At 38.2% G+C, this 27,269-nt stretch overlaps 1 protein-coding gene across 5 annotated transcripts in view, besides 1 other annotated feature; it reads left to right on the forward strand.

Moving 5' to 3' along the window:
* The window catches only part of SCAF8 (SR-related CTD associated factor 8), a 100,867-nt gene that overhangs the window by 23,739 nt on the left and 49,859 nt on the right, over positions 1-27,269 (forward strand). For all 5 annotated transcript variants that reach the window (NM_001286188.1, NM_001286189.1, NM_001286194.1 and 2 more), the window contains 2 exons: positions 16,873-16,956; positions 20,885-20,929. In NM_001286188.1, coding sequence (NP_001273117.1) covers positions 16,873-16,956; positions 20,885-20,929 — 129 coding nt within the window. The remainder of the gene's footprint in view (positions 1-16,872; positions 16,957-20,884; positions 20,930-27,269) is intronic.
* Positions 21,686-21,886: a silencer, noted in NCBI's record as "peak6233 fragment used in MPRA reporter construct". NCBI's record gives its function as "represses an SCP1 promoter by STARR-seq MPRAs in K562 erythroleukemia cells {active_cell/tissue: K562}" and the evidence as "EXISTENCE:reporter gene assay evidence [ECO:0000049][PMID:32103011]".

Below are 27,269 nucleotides of genomic sequence, written 5' to 3' on the forward strand. Positions count from 1 at the left end.
CTCCTGAGCAGCTAGGACTACAGGTGCACGCCACTACGCCCAGCTAATTTTTATTTTTACTAGAGATGGGGTTTTGCCATGTTTGCCAGTCTAGTCTCAAACTCCTGGCCTCAAGTGATCTGCCTGCCTTGGCCTCCCAAAGTGCTGGGATTATAGGCATGAGCCACCGTGCCCAGCCAATAAATATACTTTTTATACCTATGAATATTGGCATAGGATTATAGATACATGATTGCAAAACTTGTCAAAAGTAAAGTTCTGAGGGAAAAATTAAGAGAAATTTATATCATCAGTTATGGCTTTGGCATTCTACTTTTTTGAGTAAAATTAATCTGCTCTGTTCAAGTGAATTTAGGTGTGAGAAAGCTGGATAAACTGCTTTTGCTAGCTCGTATTTGGTTGCCTGTTACCTTTGAAACCTTATACTAAACTACTGTATGAAAGTCAAATCATCACATGCTTGGATACCTAATATGTAACACATTGTGGAAGACATGAAAAAAATACCTTTATTGGCTGCTACTTATTGAAGATTATCAGTTAAAGTCAGAGTTTTCCAAAATGGGTGGATTGATGGAAAGATAGGAGGGATAGATGGAAAGATGGATAGATCTGTGTATCTGCATATGTGTGCACACAGGCATATACATGTACATATGCCTCTGGATGATTATAACTGCTTTAAAATGTTTGATAGCTCCATCATCTGTGTCATCTTGGGATTGGCATTTGTTGATTGTTTTTTCCCTCGAGCAGTGGACAGATTCCCTGGGGTATGTGAAGTAAGTTTCACTTTTTTTTTTTTTTTTTTTGAGTTGGAGTCTCACTCTGTCATCCAGGCTGGAGTACAGTGGCGTAATCTTGGCTCACTGCAACCTCTGCCTCCCAGGCTCAAGTGATTCTTCCACCTCAGCCTCCTCAGCAGCTAAGAGCACAGGTGTGTGCCATCACTCCCAGCTAATTTTTTGTATTTTTGGTAAAGACAGGGTTTCACCATGTTACCCAGGCTGGTCTTGTAATCCTGGTCTCAAGCAGTCTGCCTGCCTTGGCCTCCCAAAGTGCTGGGAATACAGGTTTGAGCCACCGTGCCTGGCCAAGTTTCACTTATATGCTGGCGACATTTTTAATATTATGTTGTAAGACTTCATCAAAATCCTCTGAAGGATGTTGATTTTTGTTTATCAGGCAGTCAGTTTGGTTAACGTCAGGATGCGAGTTCTGTCTTGCCTTTTTGTGGTGGTTCCAGTGTCAGTTCAGTTCTCAAAGCATTTCTTTTGAGGTGCGCACAGCATACTTTCCACTCCAGTTAGTCTAGGAATTGGGCAGTGGTTTACATGGATTGTAGTTCTTAGAGCCTTTGCTGTGCTTCTTTGGGTCTGTTTCATGCAGGCGTAATTCTAGTATGAGCCCAGGACGTAGTTCATGCACAAAACTAGGGGATCCTCTTCTCTTTCTCTTTCTAGGATTCCCATTCATTCTCCAGATGCCAGTGTTCTTTTTTCTCTGTTTCTCTGGCCAAAAAGTCATGTTTCTTTCCAAGCTCAGCCTTCAGAATGAAGTAGTGAAAAAGAAAAATAGGAACTCCCACCCCTCTTCTTTGGATAATAGAGACCTCTGTTTCCTCTTCCGTTAGCCACAGATGGATCTTCTTGAGATTTAGGTACCAGTGTGGTAACAGGGTCTGCCTTCAAACTCTTGGCAAGGCCAGAAGGGAGAAGGGGAAATTTTCTTCTTTTTTCCTTCCCTCCTCCTCTACAGCATGGAGGAGTCCTTTTTCCTAGTATTCTGGCTGAATGGGGTTTCTCCTAGTGTTTTTCCCACTAGTATTGGCTACACCTTTCTGTATTCTCCTAGCACTGAGATCAAAGCTAGGAGATCATAGATGATACTAAACACTACGAAATTACCTCAGCTCCCATGCACAGCCACCCACCCCGTCCCCTTAGCTTTCACTGGTCATTTTTCAGGTTTGACTCTGGTTTCCAGTTTGCCTGCTGTTTTTTGCTTCCGGATTACTCAGGTAGTTGCTTTTTGTCTTGAGTTGGGGATTTTGAGTTGTCATCAGTGCGAAAGCAAGGCCTCGTAGTTTGGTTTACTCGATCTTGGCTGGCACTGTAAAGCGTATGTACCTTTTTTGGAGTATTTTTTAATTCCCTCTATTCCAAGGGTTTAGAAAGGATGTGCAAATTTGTGTGTTGAATTAAAGGACTTATGCAGATGAGTTTTTGGTTTTAGGGGAGAGTTGATTACAATTTTTCTTTGTTTCAAAGCAGTTTTAAACTAAGTTTCAAAAATAGATCTCTTCTTTTTTAACAGTATTCAAAACTGTAATGTTAATCCTAGACAGTTGCCATGCTTGAAAAATGGCATATCCTGCTTAATAATACAAATGTTAATTATTTATGTGAAAACAGTTGTAGCCCATAGGCAAAGATAATGAGAAAGCGTATGAGCATTTGGATTCGTCACAATAATCTTTAAAAAATTATTTATTTTTATTCATACTAATATGACATCTGGATATTAGAATCTCCAGATGTCATAATAATTTTTTTTTTTTTTTTTTGAGATGGAGTCTCGCTCTTGTCACCCGGGCTGGAGTGAAGTGGTGCGATCTTGGCTCACTGCAGGCTCCGCCTCCCAGGTTCACGCCATTCTCCTGCCTCAGCCTCCCGAATAGCTGGGACTACAGGCGCCTGCCACCACGCCCGGCTAATTTTTTTGTATTTTTTAGTAGAGATGGGGTTTCACCGTGATCAAGCCAGAATAGTCTTGATCTCCTGATCTTGTGATCCTCCCACCTCGGCCTCCCAAAGTGTTGGGATTACAGGCGTGAGCCACCGTGCCTGGCCATCATAATAATTTTATAAGCACTTTAAAAAATCAAATTCTGGGCTGGGCATAGTAGCTCACGCCTGTAATCCCAGTACTTTGGAGGCTGAGGTGGGCAGATCACTTGAAGTCAGGAGTTAAAGACCAGCCTGGCCAACGTGGTGAAAAACCTGTCTTTACCAAAAAATGTAAAAAATTAGCCAGATGTAGTGGTGCATGCCTGTAATCCCAGCTACCTGGGAGGCTGAGGTGAGAGAATCACTTTAACCCGGGTGGTGGAGGCTGCAGTGAGCCAAGATGGTGCCACTGCACTCCAACCTGGGCAACAGAGCAAGACTCTGTCTCTAAATAGATAAAATAAAATTCTGGCTCATTTTCTTTTCTTCTTTTTTTTAAAAATTAAAGAGGATTTCTTTTTTCTCCTTTACAAAGATTAGATAGATTTAATCTTGCTAGACAGATGTTTGCATATTTCAGACTTACAATTTTAGGAAAATAAACATCACTTCCCTTTGTAATGTCATACTTTTTTTTAAAAAAGGGTTCTAGATTTGAAATTCTGAGAAATACATACAGTATCGCACACTCTTCACCACATTATTGCATACTTAACTACACTCTGCTAACTGTGTCTATTAGTTTAGTAGAATATTGTCTGTCTCTAAAAGCAGATTAAGTTTCATGACAGAGGCCTAGTGCTAATGAATATATTTTGAATGAGTGATGAATTGTGGGATTATAGATAGATTACATTTTTTCTTTGTGTTTTTTTTGTATTTTCCAATTTTTTCATATTAAAATATTTTATGCCACAAAAAAGTTCTAAGAATTTTTTATTTATTAAAAATTTTTTTAGAGACCGTCTTGCTCTGTCACCCAGGCTGGAGTGCAGTGGCATGGTAAAGGCTCACTGCATCCTTGGACTCTTGGGCTCAAATGATCCTCCTGCCTCAGCCTCCCAGGTAGCTGGGACTACAGGCATGCACCCCCATGTCCCATTGATTTTTTTCTTTTTTCTTTTTTTTTAAATTTTTGTAGAGGCAGGGCCTTGCTGTGCTGTGCAGGCTTGTCTTGAACTCCTGGCCTCAAGCGATCCTCTCACCTTGGCCTCCCAGAGTGGTGTTGGGATTTATAGGTGTGAGCCATTGTGCTTGGCTCTAAGCATTTTTCTTAAAAGATTATTTCTTACATTTGATAGTGAGTTATTAGGTATAACATTTCAGATTTTATGTGCTTTGTTTGCAGTTACATGTGGTATGTTTTTTTCAAAGATGCTTTTGAAACACTTTGTTTGTTGGGAGGCTGAGCCAAGCAGATCACCTGAGGTTGGGAGTTCGAGACCGCCTGGGCAACATGGTGAAACCCCATCTCTACTAGAAATACAAAAATTTGCTGGGCATAGTGGCGGGTGCCCATAATCCCAGCGGCTCGGGAGGCTGAGGCAGGAGAATTGCTTGAATCCTGGAGGTGGAGGTTACAGTGAGCTGAGATTGCACCAGTGCACTCCATACTCCAGCCTGGGCAATAGAGAGAGACCCCTTCTCCAAACAAAACAAAACAAAACCAAAAAATCATTTTGGAAGTTTTCAGACTGGTCCTTTTTTTAGTATAAAAGGGAGGAGCTTTGGCTTTATCAAAAACCTGATCTGGGAGGATTCCCTCAGTATGTCTGTAACATCTCCTTTTGGCCTGTGCTGTTTATCTTTAAAAATTCTGATCACTCAAGAATATTGCTGTGTCATTAGAAGTTAACCAAAGCTTATATTTAAAGTTTTATTTTAAATATTTTTTATAAATAAATTTGAAAACCTTAGGAAGATAAAGTTTTGAAAGGAGTTTTTATTTTAAGGGACTATAAAAGTCACTATTTGTCGTATTATTTTAGAACATGCTTTTCTTAATATGGAATTTGCTGCTGTTATTTCTAAAGTTTCTGTTCTTTGGTCCCATTTTATCAGCAAAATCAGTTTATTAATGAAACAAATCTGTTATTTACCTTTTACTCCTGTATGCAAAATACTGAATTTTTATTTTCACTTGTAAACTTAGGAAAAAGCAGATATTGTTTTTAAATTTAATTTCTACTTTGAGTTATTAATAAAAAGTTTCACAAAAATATGAAAACTTTCAAGTTTATACACATACTAGAAAATAAAAGCATTCACTTATTTCTTCTACTGTATTAGTTTTCTATTGCTGTGTAACAAATTGTCACAAACTTAGCTTGTGGCTAAAAACAGCATGTACTTGTTTCACAGTTTCCATAGGTCAGGATCTAGGCGTTGGTTAGCTGGGTCTTTTGCTAATGGTTTCACTTGGGTGATGGAGGTGTTTTCCAGGGCTGGGCTCCCATTTGAAACTTCGGGCCCTCTTCCAAATTCATTCAGGCTGTTGGCTGAATTCAGGTCCTTATGGTTGTAGGACTGAGGTCTCTTTTTTTGTTTACTGGCTGTGGGCTGGGGGTTACTCTCAGTTTCTAGTGGCTACCCTCATGTCCTAGTAGCCATTGGTCCCATTTCTGGTCTACTACAATAGTTATCATCGGAGTGACTGTCCCACCATATTCATAGGTCCCACCCATACTGAAGGATGGGGTCATTAGATAGAGGGGATTATATAGGGCTTGTACAGGGTAGAAGTCTTGGGGGCCATCTTAGAATTCTGCCTGCCAAAGCTATTCTAACCAAACCAATGATAATTTTGTAGTATTTCCTTTTAATATTTTTTTGTGAGCTACCATTTTTATTTATAATACAAATATTTTACCTTGAGGCTTTGGAAGTTTCATTACTATCACTTATAAATATACCCATATTATTTCTGATTATAAAATAAGGGATTTTATTTGAGAGTTCAAGTATCTGTAGTGTAGTTTTAATTCTTAACATTTTAGTTGTGGTGGTTACCGTCATATCCCAAAATAATAATTTTATATTGCTGTTTCTGGAATGGTCAGTTTTAGACATTATTTATTGATTTTTTGCAGCAGCAGGTGATGCACTAGTTCACTTGTGTCATTCCTGCCCTGTAATACCTCTATTTGGGGTGGTGAGACTTTGGAATTCTCCATGATAAAGTGTTTTCCTCCTTGGTTGTATTTTCTTGTGTGTATTATAACTTATGGTTTTCTTCTTATTTCATCATTTACCAATCTTTTTATCACGTTTCCATTTTCTGGAAGTTTGTCACATCTCTGCTGATTTTTCTCCCCTCCTCATTCTGCTTTTCATTGTGAATTTTTATACCTTTTTCTTTCTTGAGTTCTTTATTGTCCTCCCAGTAAGAGGAAGAAAAGAAAAATATCTGGTTAGCATGCTGTCTTGAATTCAAAGTATGAAGATTGTGTTGGCTGCAGAAACTTTCATGAAGTTTCTGATTTCTTTGAAGATTTGGGGGATTCTAATCAGTACTCTCAAGGGCTTAAAGGACCATTGTTAAGAAAGATGGACTGGGTTGATTACATTTAGTTATTTTAGGTTCACTCTTAAGGTTAATTCCTTTGATCATAGAACCAGCAACCTTGTACATGAGCAAAATGTTGATGGTTCTCTGGGATGTAACTCATAATAAGCTGTTTGTTGGGCCCTTTAAGGTCATAGTAGAATTCATTTCATATTGCTGAAATTGGGAAAGGCACAAAAATGTTTGAAGTGAATACACTTACTTGAAATAACAAGCATGAAGGTACAACATTTTGTTAAATTTTGGGTTTTGGGTAATGAGTTTCATTTAATGCATAGAGGAGGGGAGGACATAAATATGCTCTCCAGGGGTGTGAGATTGCAGTGTTTATCAAAAAAGAAAAAAAAAACCCACATCTGTAGAATGGAGAATGTTGCCGAATCCAGGGGCTGGCCTGGTTTTGTAAGTAAGTTCTGTTGGAACACACTGTGCTGATTCATATACAAATTGTTTATGGCTGTTTTCTTGCTACAAAGGGCAGAGCTGAGGAGTTGTGATAGAGACAGTATGACCTGCAAAGGCTAGAATGGTTACTATCTGGCCCTTTGAGGAAAAGGTTTGCTGATGCTGGACCTAATTGATGAGTGCTTTTGAGATCTTGATTAGAGATAAGTTTTGTGATGGAGTAGCCATCTCAGTTTAGGTAAAAGATTCCTTAAACCTCGAGGAATTAGAAATTGATTTGACTTATAGAAGTCTTCAGATTAAAAATATGCATTTGCTGTGGTGCCTACAAGTGATAGTATAGAAACTTAAAATTTTACAAGTTTAAGGAACGTTCTTTAATGTACATGATGGGAGTTGAAACATAAAGAATGAATTAATTACACTGAAAACCAAGGCTCTTGTTTAGTATATTTTCTTTCCTTTTTTTTTTTTTTGAGACGGAGTCTCGCTCTGTTGTTTAGTATATTTTCATTGAAATGATAAGTCTTGAGTGGCCAAAGGAAAGGACAGGTGAAGACTGGTAGGTTATTTCAATCTCTGAGGTCAGATGAGCATAGAGAATTTGCACAAGTAAAGGGTTTCGTCATTTGACATTAGATAATATTAGAACATGGCATATGTGGGGAATAAACTTTTCATTTAGGAAGCATTTAGGAAGTTCAGAGAGAGTAACAGCATAGCAGGCACCAGTAGCCCTAGAAAAGGTAGAATTTGATGGAACAAACTAACTGGGATCAGCAGCCACTTAAGACTTTGGAAAACATGGCAGCAGGGAGCCAGATCCCAAGAAGTAGACTGATAAGATGGAAACCTGTAGAGAACACTGGGTAGCTGGAGAGCCCAAGCCTTCGCAGCATGTAGCCATGGTCTTCTCACCCAAGCATAGAGATGGAATCAGCAGGCAAAGGAGAAAAGTAAGGTCCCAGAATCAGCTTTCATTCTTTTTCAGCGTTTTTCAGCGTAAAACCATGATTTTTTATCCTGGATCAGATTTTGAGAATATGAAGAGAATAACATTCCCAATTCTTGGAGGCAGGTTAACATTATCTGATTAGAATGAGAATTGGAATGAAGCTTGGTAGTTCCTAATAGCAGTGGGTTACAGCAATATTAATAAATTATCCATTGGATAATGAAGGTTTATTATTGAGTGCTTGCTGTGTACCAGGCATTGTAATGTCTTGTAGATGTAAGTACATTAAATATAGTCTCTTTATGTACATTATTTAAGGAAGTTTATTAAAAGCTTCTAATGGGCCAGCATCATCATCATATTCTTTTTCTAAAGTACTGGTTGTTAGTTATAGTGTCATTCATAAAATTCTCAACAAATGGTCTTTGATGGAGGTCCTTGGAAGGCAGGTATGCTCACCACTATACCACCAGCACCATCAGATGGAGGTCTTTGGAGGATTAAGTTTGATGCTTGGGATTGAGTGGTAGTGAACTGTATAGAACACCTAAATTTTGGACAAATTTATTTGGAAACTACATGATGACAGAGTGCTTCTGAAGTCATGTGCTGGGTTCACATTAGTTCAGTAAATGTTGAATAAACTTGTACTCTAACCAATTTATAAAGAGCCATAAAACAGCTTAGTTAACAAAATTAAACACAATAGAAAACAGTTTATTTTTGTATCCAACGAAACTAGTTAAATATAGCAGAGAAGTAGATGTCAGTAGACATTTGAAATGTGTGTTCAGATTAGTAGAATAAACATATCAGCAAGATCCCTAGAAGCCAAGGAAAGAAGCAGGAAACTTGTTAAGTCACATATCTTTGATAAAAAGTAAGCACCAAGCTAACTGAATCACTCTCTAATTTCTGGATTTAAGTAGATTATTTAATAGGATCAGTAAATGACACTATTGTAGGGGAAATTTTTATCAACCTTCTTTAAAGTTGAGAACTTAATAGTAAAGGCATTCATTGAAGAATTAGATGAAATGATGTTTTCTGATGATCAGATTTAACAAATTAGATTTTAGAGACTCTAGAGAAATAGTTGGAGGCATATGTACAGCTGACCCATGAACAATGGGAGGTTTAGGGGCGCCAACCCCCGTGTAGCTGAAAATCATATAACTTTTGACTCTTCCCCAACTAATAATAGACTACTGTTGACCAGTAACCTTACCAATAACATAAACAGTTGATTAAAACATATTTTATATGTTATATATATTATATACTGTATTCTTAAAGTAAGAGAAAAGAAAATGTTATTAAGAAAATTATCAGGAAGAGAAAGTATACTTACTATTCATTAAGTAGAAGTAGGTCATCATAAAAATCTTTACCCTTGTCTTCATGTTGAGTAGGCTGAGGAAGGGAAAGAGGAGTGATTGGTCTTGCTGTCTCAGGGATGGCAGAGGCAAAAGATGTGGAGGAGAGGGAAGGGGAGGCAGGAGAGGCAGACACACTCAGTGTAACTTTACAGAAATAATAATTTCTGTCCAACTTTTTTGCTTTTTCATTTCTCTAAAAATGTTTCTATACCATGGCACCAATTCTTCTTCCACCGTTGGCTTTAATTTTAGTGCCTGTGTCATAGGAGGGTTTGTGTCCTAAAAATAAATCAAAAGCAGTCTTGGATAATTGTAACCCTTCTGCCAGATTGTCTAAAGTAGATTTGTTTTCTGGCACTGCTTCTTCTGCTGCTTCCTGACCGTCTGGCACTGGTTTGGAAGCACTCTTCTTCATCAAGTTGTCTTCTGTTAATTCCTCTGACGTGTCCATTAGCTCTTGAATTTCTCCAAGATTCATATCCTGAAACCCTTCACCTCCCTCCAGCAGCACCCCCCCCCCTTTTTTTTTTTTTTTGCTATATCCACAATTTTATGATTACCTTCATTGGTTCTGTTATAAATCCTATGAAGTCATGTGCAACATCTGGACACAGTTTTGCCCAGCAGGAATTTATTGTTTTGTGCTTCACGGGTTTCAAAGCTTTTTTTGTGGCAGTGGTGGCATCTTCAGTGGTATAATACTTCCAGACTTATATGATGTTCTATTGGGGTTCTCTTCCACAGCATTGACAATCCTTTTTATAGGCTACAGTGTATAATGAGCCTTAAAGGTCCTTATGACCCCCAGATCTAGAGGCTGAATTAAGAGATGTCTCGTTTGGGGACATGTAGACTACTTTGATGCCTTCATTGTTGCATGGAGTTATGGTTGACCAGGGGCATTGTCCAGTATGAAAAGAATTTTAAAAGGCAGTCCCTTACTGGCAAGGGTACTTCCTGACTTCAGGGACAAAGCATTGATGGAACCAGTCCAAAAAAAAGCATTTTTCTTGCCCAGGCCTTCCTTCTGTGCAACCAAAAGACTGGTAGCCAGCCAGTGTCTTCTGTCTTTTCCTATCAAGGCTCAGGTTAGCAGCTTTATAGAAAGGGCAGTCCTGATTATAAGCCTGACTGCATTTGCACAAAACAGTGGAGTTAGTCTATACCCTCCTGCTTTAAATCCTGGTGTTTGCCTCTCTTCCTTACCAGTAAGTGTTCTTTGTGGTATTTTTTTTTTTTTCTCCAGAATAAGGTACTTTCATCTGCAAAAACCTGTTCAGGGAGATACTCATTCTCCTCAACGATATTCTTAAATTCTTAATGATATCTGGGAAATCATGTGTTGCCTCTTGTTTGGCAGAAGCTGCTGCTTCTGTTATCTTTTTTTTTTTTTTTTTTTTTTTTTTTGAGATGGGCGTCTCACTGTGTCACCCAGGCTGGAGTGCAGTGGCACAGTCATAGCTCACAGCAACCTGTGCCTCCTGGGCTCAAGTGATCCTCACACCTCAGCCTGTAGTTGGGACTACAGGCGCAGGCCACCATGCCTGGCTAATATTTTTTTGTATGTTTTAGAGAAACGGGGTCTTGCCATGTTGCCCAGGCTGGTTCTGAACTCCTGGAATCAAGTGAGCTGCCTGCCTTGGCCTCCCAAAGTGCTGGGATTATAGGCATGAGCCACCATGCCTGACCTTCCCCTGGTATCTTGACATTTTTTAAGCCATACTTCTTTCTAAAATGATAAGTGATCCTTTGCTGGCATTAAATTGTCCAGCTTTAGATCTGTCACCTCTCTTTTGCTTTAAGGATCACATAATGACTTACCTTTTTCTCTAATCATATTAGAGTCTGTAGGTATGCCTTTCTTATAACAATTCTGTACCCACACAGAGGCTGCATTTTCAATACAAGATAAAAAGGTATTTCATAAAAAGTTTGAGGTTTTTGGCCTTTTGAGATAGCTGCAGTGACAGCTTCATGAATTTCCTTTTCTTTTTTGACAGTGGTCCTTATAGGCCAGATTCATTTGTCTTGAAAAGGTGGGCAACTGCGGCTGAAGATCTCAACCTACTATACATATCAAGCAAGTCAGCGCTTTTCTTTTAATGTCATGACTTTGCTTCTTGAGAGCACCTTCAGCATCACTAGTGCCACTTCCCATGGGTCTGTGGTGGTATTCAAGGTTCATGTTACTCCACTAAACATAATGAAAAACCTTCGAGAACTGCAAGATACCATTTTTTACTATGATATGCAATTTATTAGAGAGATGAACTGCTCATGCAGAAATGGTTAACATCACATGGCATTTTAAGTGGATACTCACACTCGAGCTCACTGCAATAGCAAGAGAAGGTGGCTATGAAATTATTATACTAGAGGTTTTTGTGGTTATGATTAATACTTCATCTTTAACATTGTTTATGTTTCTCTCTCCTGTGAATGGCGCTATGTATGTTTGTAAATGATAAACTAAAATAAACTAGTATCTACATATATTGTATGCATTCATGACATGCCTTTTTTGTTTTTTCAATATTGCTAGGCTATGCAGTTCCTCTGCATGTGTTTTTAAATTGTCAAAAATCTCTCAAAAATTTTCTAATATTTATTGGAAAAGTTCACATAAAAGTAAGCCAGGCGCAGTGGCTCACGCCTGTAATCCCAGCACTTTGGGAAGCCAAGGTGGGTGGATTGCTTGAGCCCAGGTGTTTGAGACCAGCCTAGCCAACATGGCAAAACCCTGTCTCTACTAAAAATACAAAAATTAGCCCAGTGTGGTGGTGTGCACCTAAAATCCTAGCCACTCAGGAGGCTGAGGCACAAGCATCACTTGAACCCAGGAGACGGAGGTTGCAGTGAGCTGAGAACACGCCACTGCACTCCAGCGTGGGCGACAGAGTGAGACACTGTCTCAAAAAAAAAAAAAAAAAAAAAAAATCACATATAAGTAGACCTGCGCAGTTCAAACCCATCTTGTTCAAGAATTGACTGTATTAAGTGAGCATTTGAAACATAATGTATTATCCAGTATTTCCTTGAATAGTAACTTGAGTGTCTGCAGTGGGTACATTTTTAAGGAAGAGTCTTAGATAAGAGTTGCTTTTAAGACTGTTGAAAATGCTTTAGAAGTCTAAATTATATTTTTTGCTCCGTCCCATCTTCCCAACCTCCCAAAAGAAAACAAAGCTTTGGTCTGCTACAATATGGACTAGTGCTTGATTGAAACTTCCATACTTTACCACAGAAAATGAAAGAAGTAATGTGTTGTCAAGCACAGAGTGAGCTGATGCCTCTTCATTACCCTAGTAATATAAACAGCAGTAGGATGTACTTTCACATGGCTGAGTGAATATGATTTGATTGGTCCTTTACTATTATTCACTGTAATGGAGAATGCCTATCAAAGAGAAAGCTTTTTATTTTGATAATAGCTAACCCTTATTGAGCTGTTCTAGTGTGCTCTAAAAGTTTTCTATACGATGTTTCTGTGAAAACAGTATTATTTCTGTTTTGTAAATAGAAAACTAAGGTTAATTGGTTTAACAACTTTTAATAAGGGGACATATAGTTGGAATTAAAATTTAGATCTTTCTGTACAAAGCTTGTTTGGTGTTGTGTCCTATATGTATTTGTTTATTTTTGTTCATTCTTAACAAATATCTATTCTCTGCCAGACACTGAGGATACAATGCAAATTAAAAAAACTAAACTGAAAATACAGGCTTTCTGTTCTTAGACCTTATTCTCCAGTACGAGAGGACAGGAATGGATTTCAAATGGGCCTGCTGGGAAATTTTGGGAAATTGACCTTTACTTTACATAATTTGCTGTAAGCACTGTAGTAATGTGGTAACATTATTTTGAACTTGGTGAGAAGACGGGCATACCGGTAGATTTTCTAAAGCAGGTAGGAATAAAGGGCATGAATATATTAAAATTCCCTGTGAGTTTGACACAGATCTTAACTTCAAGAGTTTAATAGTTTAAGGATCTTAGCTTAAGAATTCTTAGAAAGTAGGCTGGGTGTGGTGGCTCACACCTGTAATCTCAGCAGGGAGATGTGGGAGGCCGAGGCGGGCAGATGACTTGAGCCCAGGAGTGTAAGACTAGCCTGGGCAACATAACAAAACCCCGTCTTTACAAAAAAAGAAAACACACACACACACACGTTGAGTATGGTGATCTGTGCCTGTAGTGCCAGCTACTTGAGAGGTTGAGGTACACACACACACACACACACTCTCTCTCTCTCTCTCTCTCTCTCTCTCTCTCTCTAGTTGAGTGTGGCGGTCCGTGCCTATAGTCCAGCTACTTGAGAGGTTGAGGTAGGAGGACCCGTTGAGCCTGGGAGGTCAAGGCTGCAGTGATCGGTGCTTATGCCACTGTACCACTCCAGCCTGGGTGACAAAGCAAGACCCTGTCTGAAGAAGGAGAAAAAAAAAAATTCTTAGAAAGTATGTGATGGGATCCTAATTCTTGTCGACCATTGTCATGAACAGATGGGTGCCTTTATGAGAACTTAAGGAGGAAGCATGTTTGCACTTCTACCAGGATTCATTTCCATTTGGGCAGCAGTTGGTCTTTGGTTAAACTGGTTTTTGTTGTTGTTGTTTTGACACAAAGCCTCGCTCTGTCACCATGCTGGAGTGCGGTGGCGTAATCTAGGCCCACCGCAACCTCCATCTCCCAGGTTCAAGCAATTCTCATGCTTCTGCCTCCTGAGTAACTGGGATTACAGGCATTTACCACTACACCTGGGTAATTTTTGCACTTTTAGTAGAGATGGGGTTTCGCTGTGTTGGTCAGGCTGGTCTCACACTCCTGGCCTCAAGTGATCCACCTGCCTTGGCCTCCCAAAGTGCTGGGATTACAGGTGTGAGCCACTATGCCTGACCTTGGTTAAACTCTTACTAAGTTAAATTTCATTAAAGGAACTTGCGTCCTTTGTCTCTTACTGTCAGTCAGCATCACCCTGTGACATATCTTTTAAAAAATCAAGTATTAGTTAAATAATCATACAAGTAAACATCAGATTACAGCAGTGAATGCTTCACAGGTATTATAAATGATAGCACAAAGAAAGCATAAAAGAGGGAGTATTGATCTGATTGGGGAGGTCGGGAAGCCTTTCCTCATTAGGTGATGCTTTAAGATGGATGGGTATGCATTAACTATTGGAGAGACCCTGGTAGAGAGTATTCCAAATAGAGGAAACAAGCCTATTTTAAAGGCCCTGTGGCAGGGACCTGAAAAAAGACGACTGTGTGTCTAGAATAGAAGGCTGGGACAATAGTGTAAGATGAGGCTGGAAAGGTAGACAGGAGTTAGAATGGACAGGGCCTTAAATATACAGGTTTTTTTGTATTTATCCAAAGAGTGGGAAGGCATCGACCATTTTAAGGGGGGTGGGTAGTAGGAGTGGGTGAGTGTCAGTTACCTGATCAGATTAGTTTTTGAAAAGATAGCTGTATTTTAAGTGAATTAATGCAGGAACAGAAAACCAAATGCATGTTCTCACAAGTGAGAGTTAGGCATTGGGTACTCATGGACATAAAGATGGCAACAGTAGATACTGGGGTCTGCTAGAAGAGGGAGGGAGGAAGGGGTTGAAAAACTGTTGGGCACTAAGCTCAGTACCTGTGTGATGGGAATTTTTTGTACCGCAAACCTCAGCATCACAAAATACACCCAGTGACAAACCTGCACATGTACCCCCGAATTCTAAAATAGAAGTTGGGGGGGAAAAAAAGAAAAGATAGCTCTAAACATGGTAGGGAGAACATACCGCATGTATTTAGACGTTGTTCTTCAGGTGAGAGATTAAGGTAAATTGGACTGTGGTCATGGTATGGTGGTTAGAATTTTGAAATACGAGTTGGTAGAGGGAGAGGAGACAAATATGGGGAAAAACTGGGCAGATTTCTGAGATACGAAGGGCAAAAATGAGTAGAATTGAATGCTATAAGTGGTGCTGAAGTAAAAGCTATGCAAGATTCCCTAAGTTTGTAGTTAATTAACCAAGAAATTCTGTTTGAATTGCGTTTAAAATCTGTTGAAGTTGTTTTTGCAGTGTTCTGATGGCCAAAGTTTAGTTTCGACTTCTAATTAATATCTTACAGTGTTATACTTAAAAATCAGCATCTCTGCATATAATAGAAGTTTTAATCAGTAATTGTCTGTTGCCTGATTCCCTCACACTAAAGTAGGATTCTTTCCCTTTGCTTATATGAGAAATTTCAAAACAAAGATTTGGAGGTAGGCCGGGCACTGTGGCTCATGCTTGTAACCTCACCACTTTGAGAGGCTGAAGTAGGCAGATTGCTTGAGCCCAGCAGTTCAAGACCAGCCCAGGCAACATGGTGAAACACCACCTCTACAAAACATATAAAAATTAGCCCATGTGGTGGCGTGTGCCTGTAGTCTCAGCTACTTGGGAGGCTGAGGTGGGAGTATCGTTTGAACCCAGGAGGTAGAGGCTGCAGTGAGCCGTGATCATGCCCTTGAACTCCAGCCTGGGTGGCACAGTGAGACCCTGTCTCAATCAATCAATCAATCAATCAATAAAGTGGGGGATGGGGTGGGATTATTGTTAAACATTAGAGCCCTTTTTTTGTTTTTTCTTTTTGAGACAGAGTCTCCCTCTGGAGTCTCCCAGGCTGGAGTGTAGTAGTGCAATCTCTGCTCACTGCAACCTCCACCTCTTGGGTTCAAGCAGTTCTCCTGCCTCAGCCTCCCAAGTAGCTGGGATTACAGGCGCCTGCCACCACACTAAGCTAATTTTTGTATTTTTAGTAGCGACAGGGTTTCCCCATGTTGGCCAGGCTGGTCTTGAACTCCTGATCTCAGGTGATCTACCTGTCTAGGCCTCCCAAAGTGCTGGAATTACAGGCATGAGCCACCTTGCCTGGCCAGAGCCCTTGATTTTTAAAAAAGTTTTATTGAGATACATACCATAAAATCAGTCAACTTAAAGTATACAATTCAGTGGTTCTGTGCAACCATCATCACGTTCCATTTTAAACTAATTTCATCATCCCAACAAGAAACACTCTACTCATCAGCAATGATTCCTCATTTATCTCCAGCTCTTTCAGCCCTAGACAACCACCAATAGATTTGCCCTTTCTGGATATTACATATAAATGGAATTATATAATATGCTGCCTTTTTCACCTGACTTCTCTAGTTTAGCATAATGTTTTCAAGGTTCATTCAGGTTGTAACATGTATCAGTACTTTTTTTCTTTTTATGGCTCATATTTCGTCGAATAGATACATTTGTTTACTCATTAGCTGACAGATATTTGGGTGTCTGCTTTTTTATGAATTTTAAATGAATTTTATGTGAATAGGGCTACAATGACCACGTGTACAGGTTATTATTATTTTTTCTTTCTTTTTGAACCCTCAGACGGGAAAAAGTATCATGTACAAGTTCTTTGTGAATACATGTTCTCAGTTCTCTTGGGTACATACCTAGAAGTGGAATTGGCTGGGTCTTACGTTAACTGTGTTTAATCTTTTGAGGAACTGTCAAGCTGTTTTCCAAAGCTGCTGCAACATTTTACGTTCCCACCAGTATTGTATGAGGGTTCCAGTTTCTCCACATCCTTGCTTACACTTGTTACTGTCTTTTTGATTATAAGCAAGTAAGTGTGAAGTGGTAGCTCATTATAGTTTTGATTTGCATTTGCCTTATGGGCAGTGATGTTGAGCTTGATTTGTAAAAGAAAAGCAGTATGTTGGTTTCATTGAGAATATAAAAATGAACATGTTTGGTAGTTTCATGTAATTGCTTGGAGAGTTTTGCTGTATGTAAATTTGTTCTTTTTTCATCAGTTGTATTCCCTGAATGACTATAAACCACCCATTTCGAAAGCGAAAATGACCCAAATTACTAAGGCAGCCATCAAAGCTATTAAGGTGAGTAATAAATTTTACTCTTCTATTTTCAAAAGAAAAAACTATATTAATAGTTTGGATGGGGGATAATTTTTTTATGGATTATATGTTCTTTTTCACTTTACAGTGTTAACACATATTGTGGAAAAACACAAAAAAGAAAATCTGTCACCTGTAGACTCTCCCACCTAGAGATAAACATTTAATGTTTATTATTACTCTTTTTTAGAGACAATGTCTTATTCTGTCACCCAGGCTGGACTGCAGTGCCACGATCATAGCTCACTGTGGCCTCGACCTCCTGGGCTCAAGTGATCCTCTTGCCTCAGCCTCCTGAACATTTAACATTTTGATAAATGTTCTTCCTTAAACATTCTTCCATAAATTTTTTGAAGCAGTCATTTTTCCTCACCTTTCTTAGATAATATTTTGCATATATCCACATTATGGAGAATGTGTTTAACACTGTCTTTTGCCACACTGTCTTTTGCCACAAGGTTCTTGGCAGAACCTTGAAATTTGAGTTGGTAAAAGTTTCTATATATTGATATATTCATTTTTTCTTATTGATTCTATTAATATTATAGATTTGAAAATAGGCCATTAAGGAAAACAGTTGTGACTCATTGTATCAGGTATTTGAACTGTGGGAAAAGGCCATAGACATTTAACCTTTGCTCTCATAAAGTAGGTTTTGAACCTATGTTAACTCATGAATAGTTCTGAAAATCTCAGGAAAAGGTTGGATCCTCTGGAGAAATAAACATATGCGCAAAATTTTATAGAAACTTTTTGGCAAAAGGATCTTTTCAAGCTCAGCCATAGATTTTTCCCCGAGAAGTTCTTGTCCCCTAGGCTAAGATTCCCTGAATTAGTAGGCCTCTTAAAATTGAGAATGAATGAGTACTTATTTCTAATTAAGTAGGTACTAACCTATGAATATTCAGTGATATGTTTTCCTGCCCTGAATTAAATTATTAACCGTAACCAAAAGCACCAACTATTTAAATTATCTTTTAAATAACAGCAGTGTATTAAATTTAACAGATTCCTATTTACTAGTAATTACTACTGGGTGAAAATTCAGATGATTCGTTGATTTTGCAGTTTTCTAGTGGCTAAAGCTTAGTTTTCAGACTTGTTAGTATCTTACATCAATAGTTAAAATCAGTGTACTTCCATGGCAGAAAATCAGAGAGAACGACAGTAACTATAAGCACATTGAAGCCAGGAAATGTTTCAAAGACATGATTATTTAGAGGATTTGATAGGCTCATTGTGGAATAATTTTATTCTCTTGTACTTTACTCTGCATTATGTGATTTTTATGATCATGATCATTTGAAAGTGTGGAAACGTGTATTTTTTTCTGTGAAAATTAGTAATTGATGCACTTTTCATAACTTGTTGAGCAGAGTACTTTCTTAATAGAGTTAATGAGGTATAGGTGCAAACAGTATTTTCTATTTTCAGATGTCAGACGGGTCTGAGAGAAATTAAGTAATTTGCAGTAGTAGGAGTAAATATAGCTAGAATTTTAAGCCAGAATTCTGTCAGTCAAGAGTCTAACTCTTTGGACACAGTGGGACACATCGTTAGTCCTAGCTGCTGGGTAGGCTGAGGCAGGAGGATCACTTGAACCCAGGAATTTGAGGCCAGCCTGGGCAACGCAGTAAGATCTTGGCTCTTAAAGTTTTTTTAAAAAAAGAAGTAATGTTTTTTAAAAAGAGAATCTTTATTATTATTATATATTTTATTATTTTGACTTACTGTTTTTAATGTTTTGAATTTTGAAAAAATTTAAACCTAAGTTGCAAATTATTATGGTGAGCAGGACATATTCTTCCCTTAGATTTGCTGATTAACATGTTGCTACATATGGAAGTTAGTTTCAGACTTCATTCATAGTAACACTTAATCCTTGATACATACTTGAATTTGAAACTCCTGAGAATAAAGACATTTTCCTTGGGAACCATAATATACCAATCACATGCAAAAAATTTCACTTTGATAGAATTATCTAATATAGAGTTCATCCTTAACATTTTAACGTTGTTGCATTGTTGACTAGTAGCTGTTGCTGTCAACCCTGCTTTTTCATAATCCAGTCAAGATCACACATTATACTTATTTGTCCTGTCACCCAGCAGTTTTTTTTTTGTGACATTGACATTTTTGAAGCGTCTAGACCAGTTGTTTTTCACTACTTTATTACTTTAAACTGCATTTAGTGTGTATATATGTATATATATATATGTATATATATAAACACTACATTTTATCAATCAGATTTAAATGATACTGTGTTTCATATTGAGGTAAGTCATTGTTTTTTATATAGAAATGATTAGTGAGTGATGGTTAACATTGCATTGTCAACAAAACCTCCCAGAAAACCTATTGTGGAAGAAGGCCTATGAGAATTAATAAACTTTCAGTTAAGATTTATGAAGTAGTTTTATTTTAATTATGTATAGTAACAAAACAAAGAACACTGTCAAGGTGTCTTCCAGAATTGTTCCTTCAATGTGTAGTTATTTAATATTTTGCATATTGATTTTTAAATGTTTAGGGGCCTCTAAAGTGCCTAATAACTTTAGTTGTTTTGGCTTTTTTACTTAAGTAACTTAAACCATTGAGTAAACTTACTTTATTGTAAGTAACTTTAGCCAGACTTAAACTTGTAGGTTTTGATTTGGTGAATATGAGTTCATGATGTTTTCTTTTCTTTTTGTTATTATAAATACTGGATTTAGTGCTGAGGTTTAGTTGAATGTTCCTATTTCTTCAGTCTAAGGGAATGTCCTTAAAAAGCATAATTCACGAGAAGAAAAGTATAAAGAAGGCTGGGCGCAGTGGCTCACGCCTATACTTCCAGCACTTTGGGAGGCCGAGGTGGGTGGATCACTTGAGGTCAAGAGTTAGAGACCAGCCTGGCCAACATGGCGAAACCCCGTCTCTACTAAAAATACAAAAATTAGGCGTGGTGGCTGGCACGCATCTGTAGTCCCAGCTACTTGGGAGGCTGAGGCAGGAGAATCGCTTGAACCCGGGAGGCGAGGGTTGCAGTGAACTGAGATTGTGCCGCTGCACACCAGCCTGGGTGACAGAGTGAGAGTGTGTCTCCAAGGGGAAAAAAAAAAAAAGTATAAAGAGAAGCACAATTCAGGTTCTTTAAACAGAAATCATACGCCAATATGGTATTGTTATTGTGGCATTAAAATTTATTAGGCACACATGTATATACTATACGCTAAATTTATAATTTATTTCAAGTTTATTCATAGTGCTATATTTTATGAAACTTAAATCTTCTAAGTTTTCTTAAAATTGATAGTGGCCAATTACTAATTTTTAATCTACATGTTCACTTCCGCTGATTCATTTTGTCTGATCCATTAGGATATTATACATTTCTATGTTTTATTTTGTATTCTTGCAGTTCATTTTCCAGGAGAAGCAGAAGGAGATAAATGAAGTAGAAAACTACCTTACATACATTTATTAATGTTATTTGTAGTTACTTGATTTTTCAAATTTCCCTTGATTTAACTGATAAAATCATACTGTATGAAATCTGTACTTTTCCTTTCATGAATATAAGAATATACACCCACCAGTACTTATTAGAAGTATTTTGAAGTCAACACAACTGTTTGTTAAAGTATGCTTTCAGAAAGTCTTCAATAGCATTATTTTATATCTGTGGTAAGGTAATGCACTTTGGACATGCTGATCACACATCTACTTTAGAGAAGCCCTTTACTAATTATATAGCACAGCTAGTTGCATATAAAGGTGAGTGACAAGAATGTTTGTCTCAAAATTCTTGGTTAAGATAATTGTTTTGATAGACCTTTGGAGCATGTAAAACCTATGGTTAGCAGGAAATTTCAATCTCCTCAAACTGATTTTAAAACCATACTTCATTTTTTTCCTCTTTTAGTTCTATAAACATGTGGTACAGAGTGTTGAGAAGTTTATTCAGAAAGTAAGTATATAATTTTCCATACATGTGCTGTAATTGTAGATTAATGCCTGTACTCTTCTCCTTTAGATCAAATACCCAAGTTTAAATTGTTTTGATGGACTGTTAAAAAGTGATTCCAGTTATTTTATTTTCCAATTAAGAAATAAAATAAAAGTGCCTTTCAGATAATTTTACTTAGGTTTGTATTCTGCCTATGTTCATGTGCCTAAATGTAAGCAGAGCCAGTTTGAGAATCGGTGTCATGTGGTATTAAGGATTCAGCAAGGTTGCAGTGTGTTTATGTTCCACTTGGGAGAAGGGTGCGGGATTTGAAGTGAGATTTCAGTCATTCAACTGGCTAGGTAACTTTGAATAAGTTAGTTAGCCTTTATGTCATTGAGTTCTTTTTTCTTTTTTAAAATTCTTGTTTTCTCAGTATTTAAAATATAGTATTGATAGGCTGTGCACAATGGCCCACACCTGTAATCCCAGCACTTTGGGAGGCCAAGGTGGGTGGATCACTTGAGGCCAGGAGTTCAAGACTAGCCTGACCAAGATGACAAAACTGTGTGTTTACTAAAAGTACAAAAATTAGCTGACCTGGTAGTGCATGCCTGTAATCCCAGCTACTTGGGAGGCTGAGGCACAAGAATTGCTTGAACCCAGGGGGCGGAGGTTGTAGTGAGCTGAGATCACACCACTGCACTCCAGCCTGGGGAACAGAGTGAGACCCTGTCTCAAAAAATGTGTGTGTGTGTGTGTGTGTGTGTGTGTGTGTGTGTGTGTAGATAAAACATACTTGGGGATTAAGTGGTTTAGGTAACTTGAAGCTAAGATAAAGGGTTGAATAACAAGTATGCTGTCTGTTTCACTTAAAGTTTAAAAATGTTAGTGATTAGAAAATTTTATTTGGTCTAACGCTTTTAAAAGCATTTCTCAGAGATTGTTCTGATTAAAGATCTTTCTTTAAAAGTTTTAATGTCTGGTTTTGTTTTGTTTTGTTTTGGTTTTTTTGTTTTTGTTTTTGAGACGGAGTCTCACTCTGTCGCCCAAGCTGGAGTGCAGTATCAAGATTTCGGCTCACTGCAACCTCTGTCTCCCGAGTTCAAGCTATTCTCTTGCCTCAGCCTCCCCTGTAGCTGGGATTACAGACATGCGCCACCACGCCCAGCTAATTTTTTTGTATTTTTAGTAGAGATGGGGGTTTCACCATGTTGGCCAGGCTGGTCTTGAACTCCTGACCTCAAATGATCCATGTGTCTTGGCCTCTCAAAAGTGCTGGGATTATAGGCGTGAGCCACTGCGCCCAGCCATAAAGTTTTAATGTCTTACACTATGCCTCATAAACTTGATGAATAGGAATTTACCTAGAATTCTTGTTAAAAATGTGGATTCTAATTCACCGAGTGTGGAGAGGAACCTGAGATTCTGCATTTGTAACAGCTCCTAGATGATGTTTCTTTACAAACCACAATTTGAGTAGTAAAGGTTTAAAAGGTAAAAGTGAATTTATGGATAAATGCTTGTTGACTGATTTGATTTGTGGTAGGGTACTTTGAATAAAATGTGTCAGAATCTTAGGAAGACCTGGAATGAGCAAAGTTACTCTATCGTGAGATAATTACAGTCAATCTGAAGAAGCCAATCAGTGTATGGGGAAAAACTTAAATGCTTTGCTATTACCCTGTTTAAATCAGAGATCCAGCAACAGATTTGTGTAATGGTTAAAATAAGGTGTGTGTGTGTGTGTGTGTGTGTATATATATATATATATATACACTTTTTTTTTATACTTTTGAGCTAATTGTAGATTCACATGTCATTAAATCAGTAGGAATAAATCATGTAGAGATCCCATGTGCCCCTCACTCAGTTTCCCCCTGTGGTAACGTTCTGTAGAATTGTAGTAAAATATTACAATCAGGACATTGATACAGTCACCTGTTGACACACTAACCTTATTCAGATTTTAATTGTCTTACATGCACTCATTTGTATATGTATGCATTTAGTTCCATGCCGTTTAATCACATATATAGATTCATATAAACATCACCATAGTCAAGGTACAGAACAGTTCCTTCACCACTAGGATGCCTTGTGTTTCCCTTTTATATACTCTATAGTCATACTCGACTCACCTCCTCCTCCCCATCCCTAATCCCTAATGCCTGGCAGTCATTAACCTGTTCTCTTTCTCTATTTTACATTTCAAAATGTTATATAAATTGAATCATACAAAATGTAGCCTTTTGAGATTGACTTATTTTGCCCAGCGTAATTCTTTTGAGATCTAACCAAGTTGTTGCATGTATCAAATAGTTCCTTCCTTTTTTTTTTTTTTTTTTAAATTTAAGTTCTGGTATACAAGTGCAAAACACATAGGTTTGTTACATAGGTATACCTGTGCCATGGTGGTTTGCTGTACCTATCAACTTGTCATCTAGGTTTTAAGCCCCACATACATTAGCTATTTGTCCTAATGCTCTCCCTCCCCTCGTCCCCCACCCCCGACTGGCCCTGATGTGTTTTGTTCCCCTCCCTGTGTCCATGTGTTGTCATTGTTCAACTCCCACTTACGAGTGAGAACATGGGATCTTTGGTTTTCTGTTCCTATGTTAGTTTGCTGAGGATGATGGCTTCCAGCTTCATCCATGTCACTGCAAAGTACATGATCTCATTCCTTTTTATGTCTGCATAGTATTCCATGGTGTATATGTACCACATTTTCTTTATCCAGTCTATCATTGATGGGCATTTGGGTTGATTCCATGTCTTTGCTATCGTGAATAGTGCTGCAGTAAACATACGTGTGCATGCGTCTTTATGGTAGAATGATTTATATTCCTTTGGGTATATACCCAGTAATGGGATTGCTGGGTCAGATGGTGTTTCTGGTTCTAGATCCTTGAGGAATTGCCACACTGTCTTCCACAATGGTTTAACTAATTTACATTCCCACCAAGAGTATAAAAGTGTTCCTGTTTCTCCACAGCCTCACCAGCATCGGTTGTTTCTTGACTTTTAAGTAATCACCATTCTGACTGGTGTGAGAGTTTATCTCGTTGTTTTGCCCCAAAAACTCCTTAAACTGATAAGCAACCTCAGCGAAGTCTCAGGATACAAAATCAATGTGCAAAAATCACAAGCATTCCTATACACCAACAATATACACCAAGCAGAGAGCCACGTTATGAATGAACTCCCATTCACAGTTGCTACAAAGAGAATAAAATACCTAGGAATATAGCTAACAAGGAGTGTGAAGGACCTCTTCAAGGAGATCTACAAACCACTGCTCAAGGAAATCAGAGAGGACACAAACAAATGGAAAAACATTCTATCCTCATGGATAGGAAGAATCAATATCGTGAACATGGCCATACTGCCCAAAGTAATTTATAGAATAAATGGTATTCCCATAAACTACCACTGACATTTTTCACAGAATTAGAAAAAACTACTTTAAATTTCACATGGAATAGGAAAAGGGCCTGTATAGCGAAGACAGTCTTAAGCAAAAAGAACAAAGCTGGAGGCATTGCACTACCTGCCTTCAAACTATACTACAAGGCTACAGTAACCAGAAGAGACATATGGTTTCCTTACTTTTTATTTCTGAGTAGTATTTCAGGGTATGAATTTACCACAGTTTAATCATTCACTCATTGGGGTTCATCTGGGTTGTTTGTAGTTTTTGGTTATTATGAATAAAGCTGCTAGGAACACTTGTATACCCAGAGTGTTTTTGTGTGAATGTAAGTTTACATTTCTTTGGGATAGTGAGTACATGTTTCCATTTTATAAGAAGCTACCAAACTGTTTTCCAAGATGGCGGTACCATTTTATATTCTCTTCATATACCATAAATTGTGTGAGGGAGAAGTGTGGCTGCAGTTTGGTCATATATTATCCGTGAACCCATGTTTTAGTCATGAAAGATTTATGGAGTAATAAATGACAGTAAATGAAAAATTAACAGTAAATATGATTTCCTTTAGGCCAAGAAAACTACTCTAAAGAATACTCTGGTCTCTGGCCTTGTCCTAATTAATTTTGCCAAAAATCAGTTCATATGCTGATTGTGTCTTAGCTTTATAAGACAGAAGCACCTGGGCACTCTGGCTCATGCCTACAGTCTAGCAGTTTGGGAGGGGCCAAGGCTGGGCTCAGGCATTTGAGACCAGCCTGGGCAAACGTGGCAAAACCCTGTCCCAGCCTAAAAACTACAAAAATTAACTGGGCAAAGTGGCAAGTGCCCGTGTTCCCAGCTGCTTATGTGGGTGAGGTGGAGGGATTGCTTGAGGCTTGAGTTCAGGAGGAAGTTGAGGCTGTAGTGAACCATCATTGTGCCACTGCACTCTAGCTTGGGCAACAAAGCAAGAGCTTGTCTCAAAACAAAACAAAACAAACAAACAGAAAAAATGGGGGCGGCAGCAGCAGCAGAGGCGGGAGTTAGAAACAGATAAGGAAACTTCAGAAGACAGGTTTTAGAACTTGTTATGATCCTGTGTCAGGGTTCTCTAGAGGGACAGAACTAATAGGATATGTGTATATATACACACATATATAGGGTATACATATATACAGGGGAGTTTATTAAATATTAACATAAGTATTAACTTACACGATCACAAGGTCCCACAGCAGGCTGTCTGCAAGCTTGAGGTGCAAGGACGGCCAGTCTGAGTCTCAAAACTGAAGAACTTGGAGTCCAGTGTTCGAGGGCAGGAAGCGTCCAGCACAAGAGGAAGATGTAGGCTCTGAGGCTAGGCCAATCTCTCGTTTTCATATTTTTCTACCTGCTCTATACTTGCTGGCAGCTGATTAGATGGTGCCCACCCAGATTAAAGGTGGGTCTACCTTCCCCTGCTCACTGACTCAAATGTTAATCTCCTTTGGCAGCACCCTCACAGACACATCCAAGATCAATACTTTATGTCCTTCAATCCAGTCAAGTTGACACTCAGTATTAACCATCATAGATCCCTATATTTGCATTATAAATAACTAACTTACCTTAGTTATCCTGAATCCTAAAGGCAATAAATTTTATTTTGAGCCAGAGACCTCATGATTTGGTGACTTTTCTACCATCCATAGCTCTGTTCTCATTTGCTGGTTTGAAATGCAAAAATGAAATCCTCAGCTCTGTTCCAAAAATATGTAGAGTTTACCCAACTCTTTTTGTCTGTATGAAATCCCTTGCCTTTTTTTGCATGAGTACTACAAGCAAATGTGTCTACTAGATTCAGAATAAGATCGAATATTATCATTCAGAACTATTTATTTTGATAAAATCTAGATGCTTTGTTACAGTGAAATACATTCTATGGTACTGTGGCTACTCTTAGATACGGTGAGGTCAGGAATAAATTTCATCTTTCTGGCTCTGAAAGTGGTCTGTAGATGAGTTACTATTGCCTTAATCTGTAAGCTTTTGGCTATGATTACCTTCTTCAAATTTCCTGCTACATATTTAGTAAGAGCAGGAAATGTGGCTTATTTGTGGTGATTTTCAAGTTACATTTACTTTGTAAATAATAAATGAAAAGATGGTGCTAAACTGTCTAGAGATTATCATCATGAAAGTTTTTTGTTTTCTAGAAAGTTGATCTGGTAGCTGTATGTACATGGTTGTTAATGGTGGTTGATATTTTGCAGTGGATATGTATATATTTTTCAAAGAAGCGAAACATTTATTCTTCTCTTTGATATTTTTCCAGAGGAAGGATTGAGTCCACATTGAAAGATGGCTGTTAGCTAGGTGCAGTGGCTCACGCCTATAATCCCAGCACTTTGGGAGGCCGAGGTGGGCAGATCACTTGAGAGGTCAGGAGTTTGAGACCAGCCTGGCCAAAATGGTGAAATCCCGTCTCTACTAATACAAAAATTAGGCAGGCGCGGTAGCACATGCCTGTAGTCCCAGCTACTCAGGAGGCTGAGGCAGGAGAATTGCTTGAACCCACAAAGCAGAGGTTGCAGTGAGCCGAGATCATGCCACTGCACTCCAGCCTGGGTGACAGAGCGAGACTCCGTCTCAAAAAAATAAAAAGAAAGATGGCTGTTATATTTACTTATCTCTGGTGTCTTGAGATATATATATATATATATATATATATATATATATATATTTATTTATTTATTTTTCATGTAGGGTGCAGTATTCTGTAACTGGACTTTTATCATGAGTATACCTTTATGCTTGGAGGTAGGATACAAAGAGATTTTTGTACATGGGCACAAATAGTTTGAAAGGAGTATATTTCCAGATTCTCACTTTTCATATGTATTTTTATTAAAGTTCCTCTTCCCTAGGATATTTTAGATCAACACAAGTTCCACACTTTTTAAATTTACA

Source organism: Homo sapiens, chromosome 6 (assembly GCF_000001405.40).
Source record: "Homo sapiens chromosome 6, GRCh38.p14 Primary Assembly".
Lineage (NCBI taxonomy): Eukaryota > Metazoa > Chordata > Mammalia > Primates > Hominidae > Homo > Homo sapiens.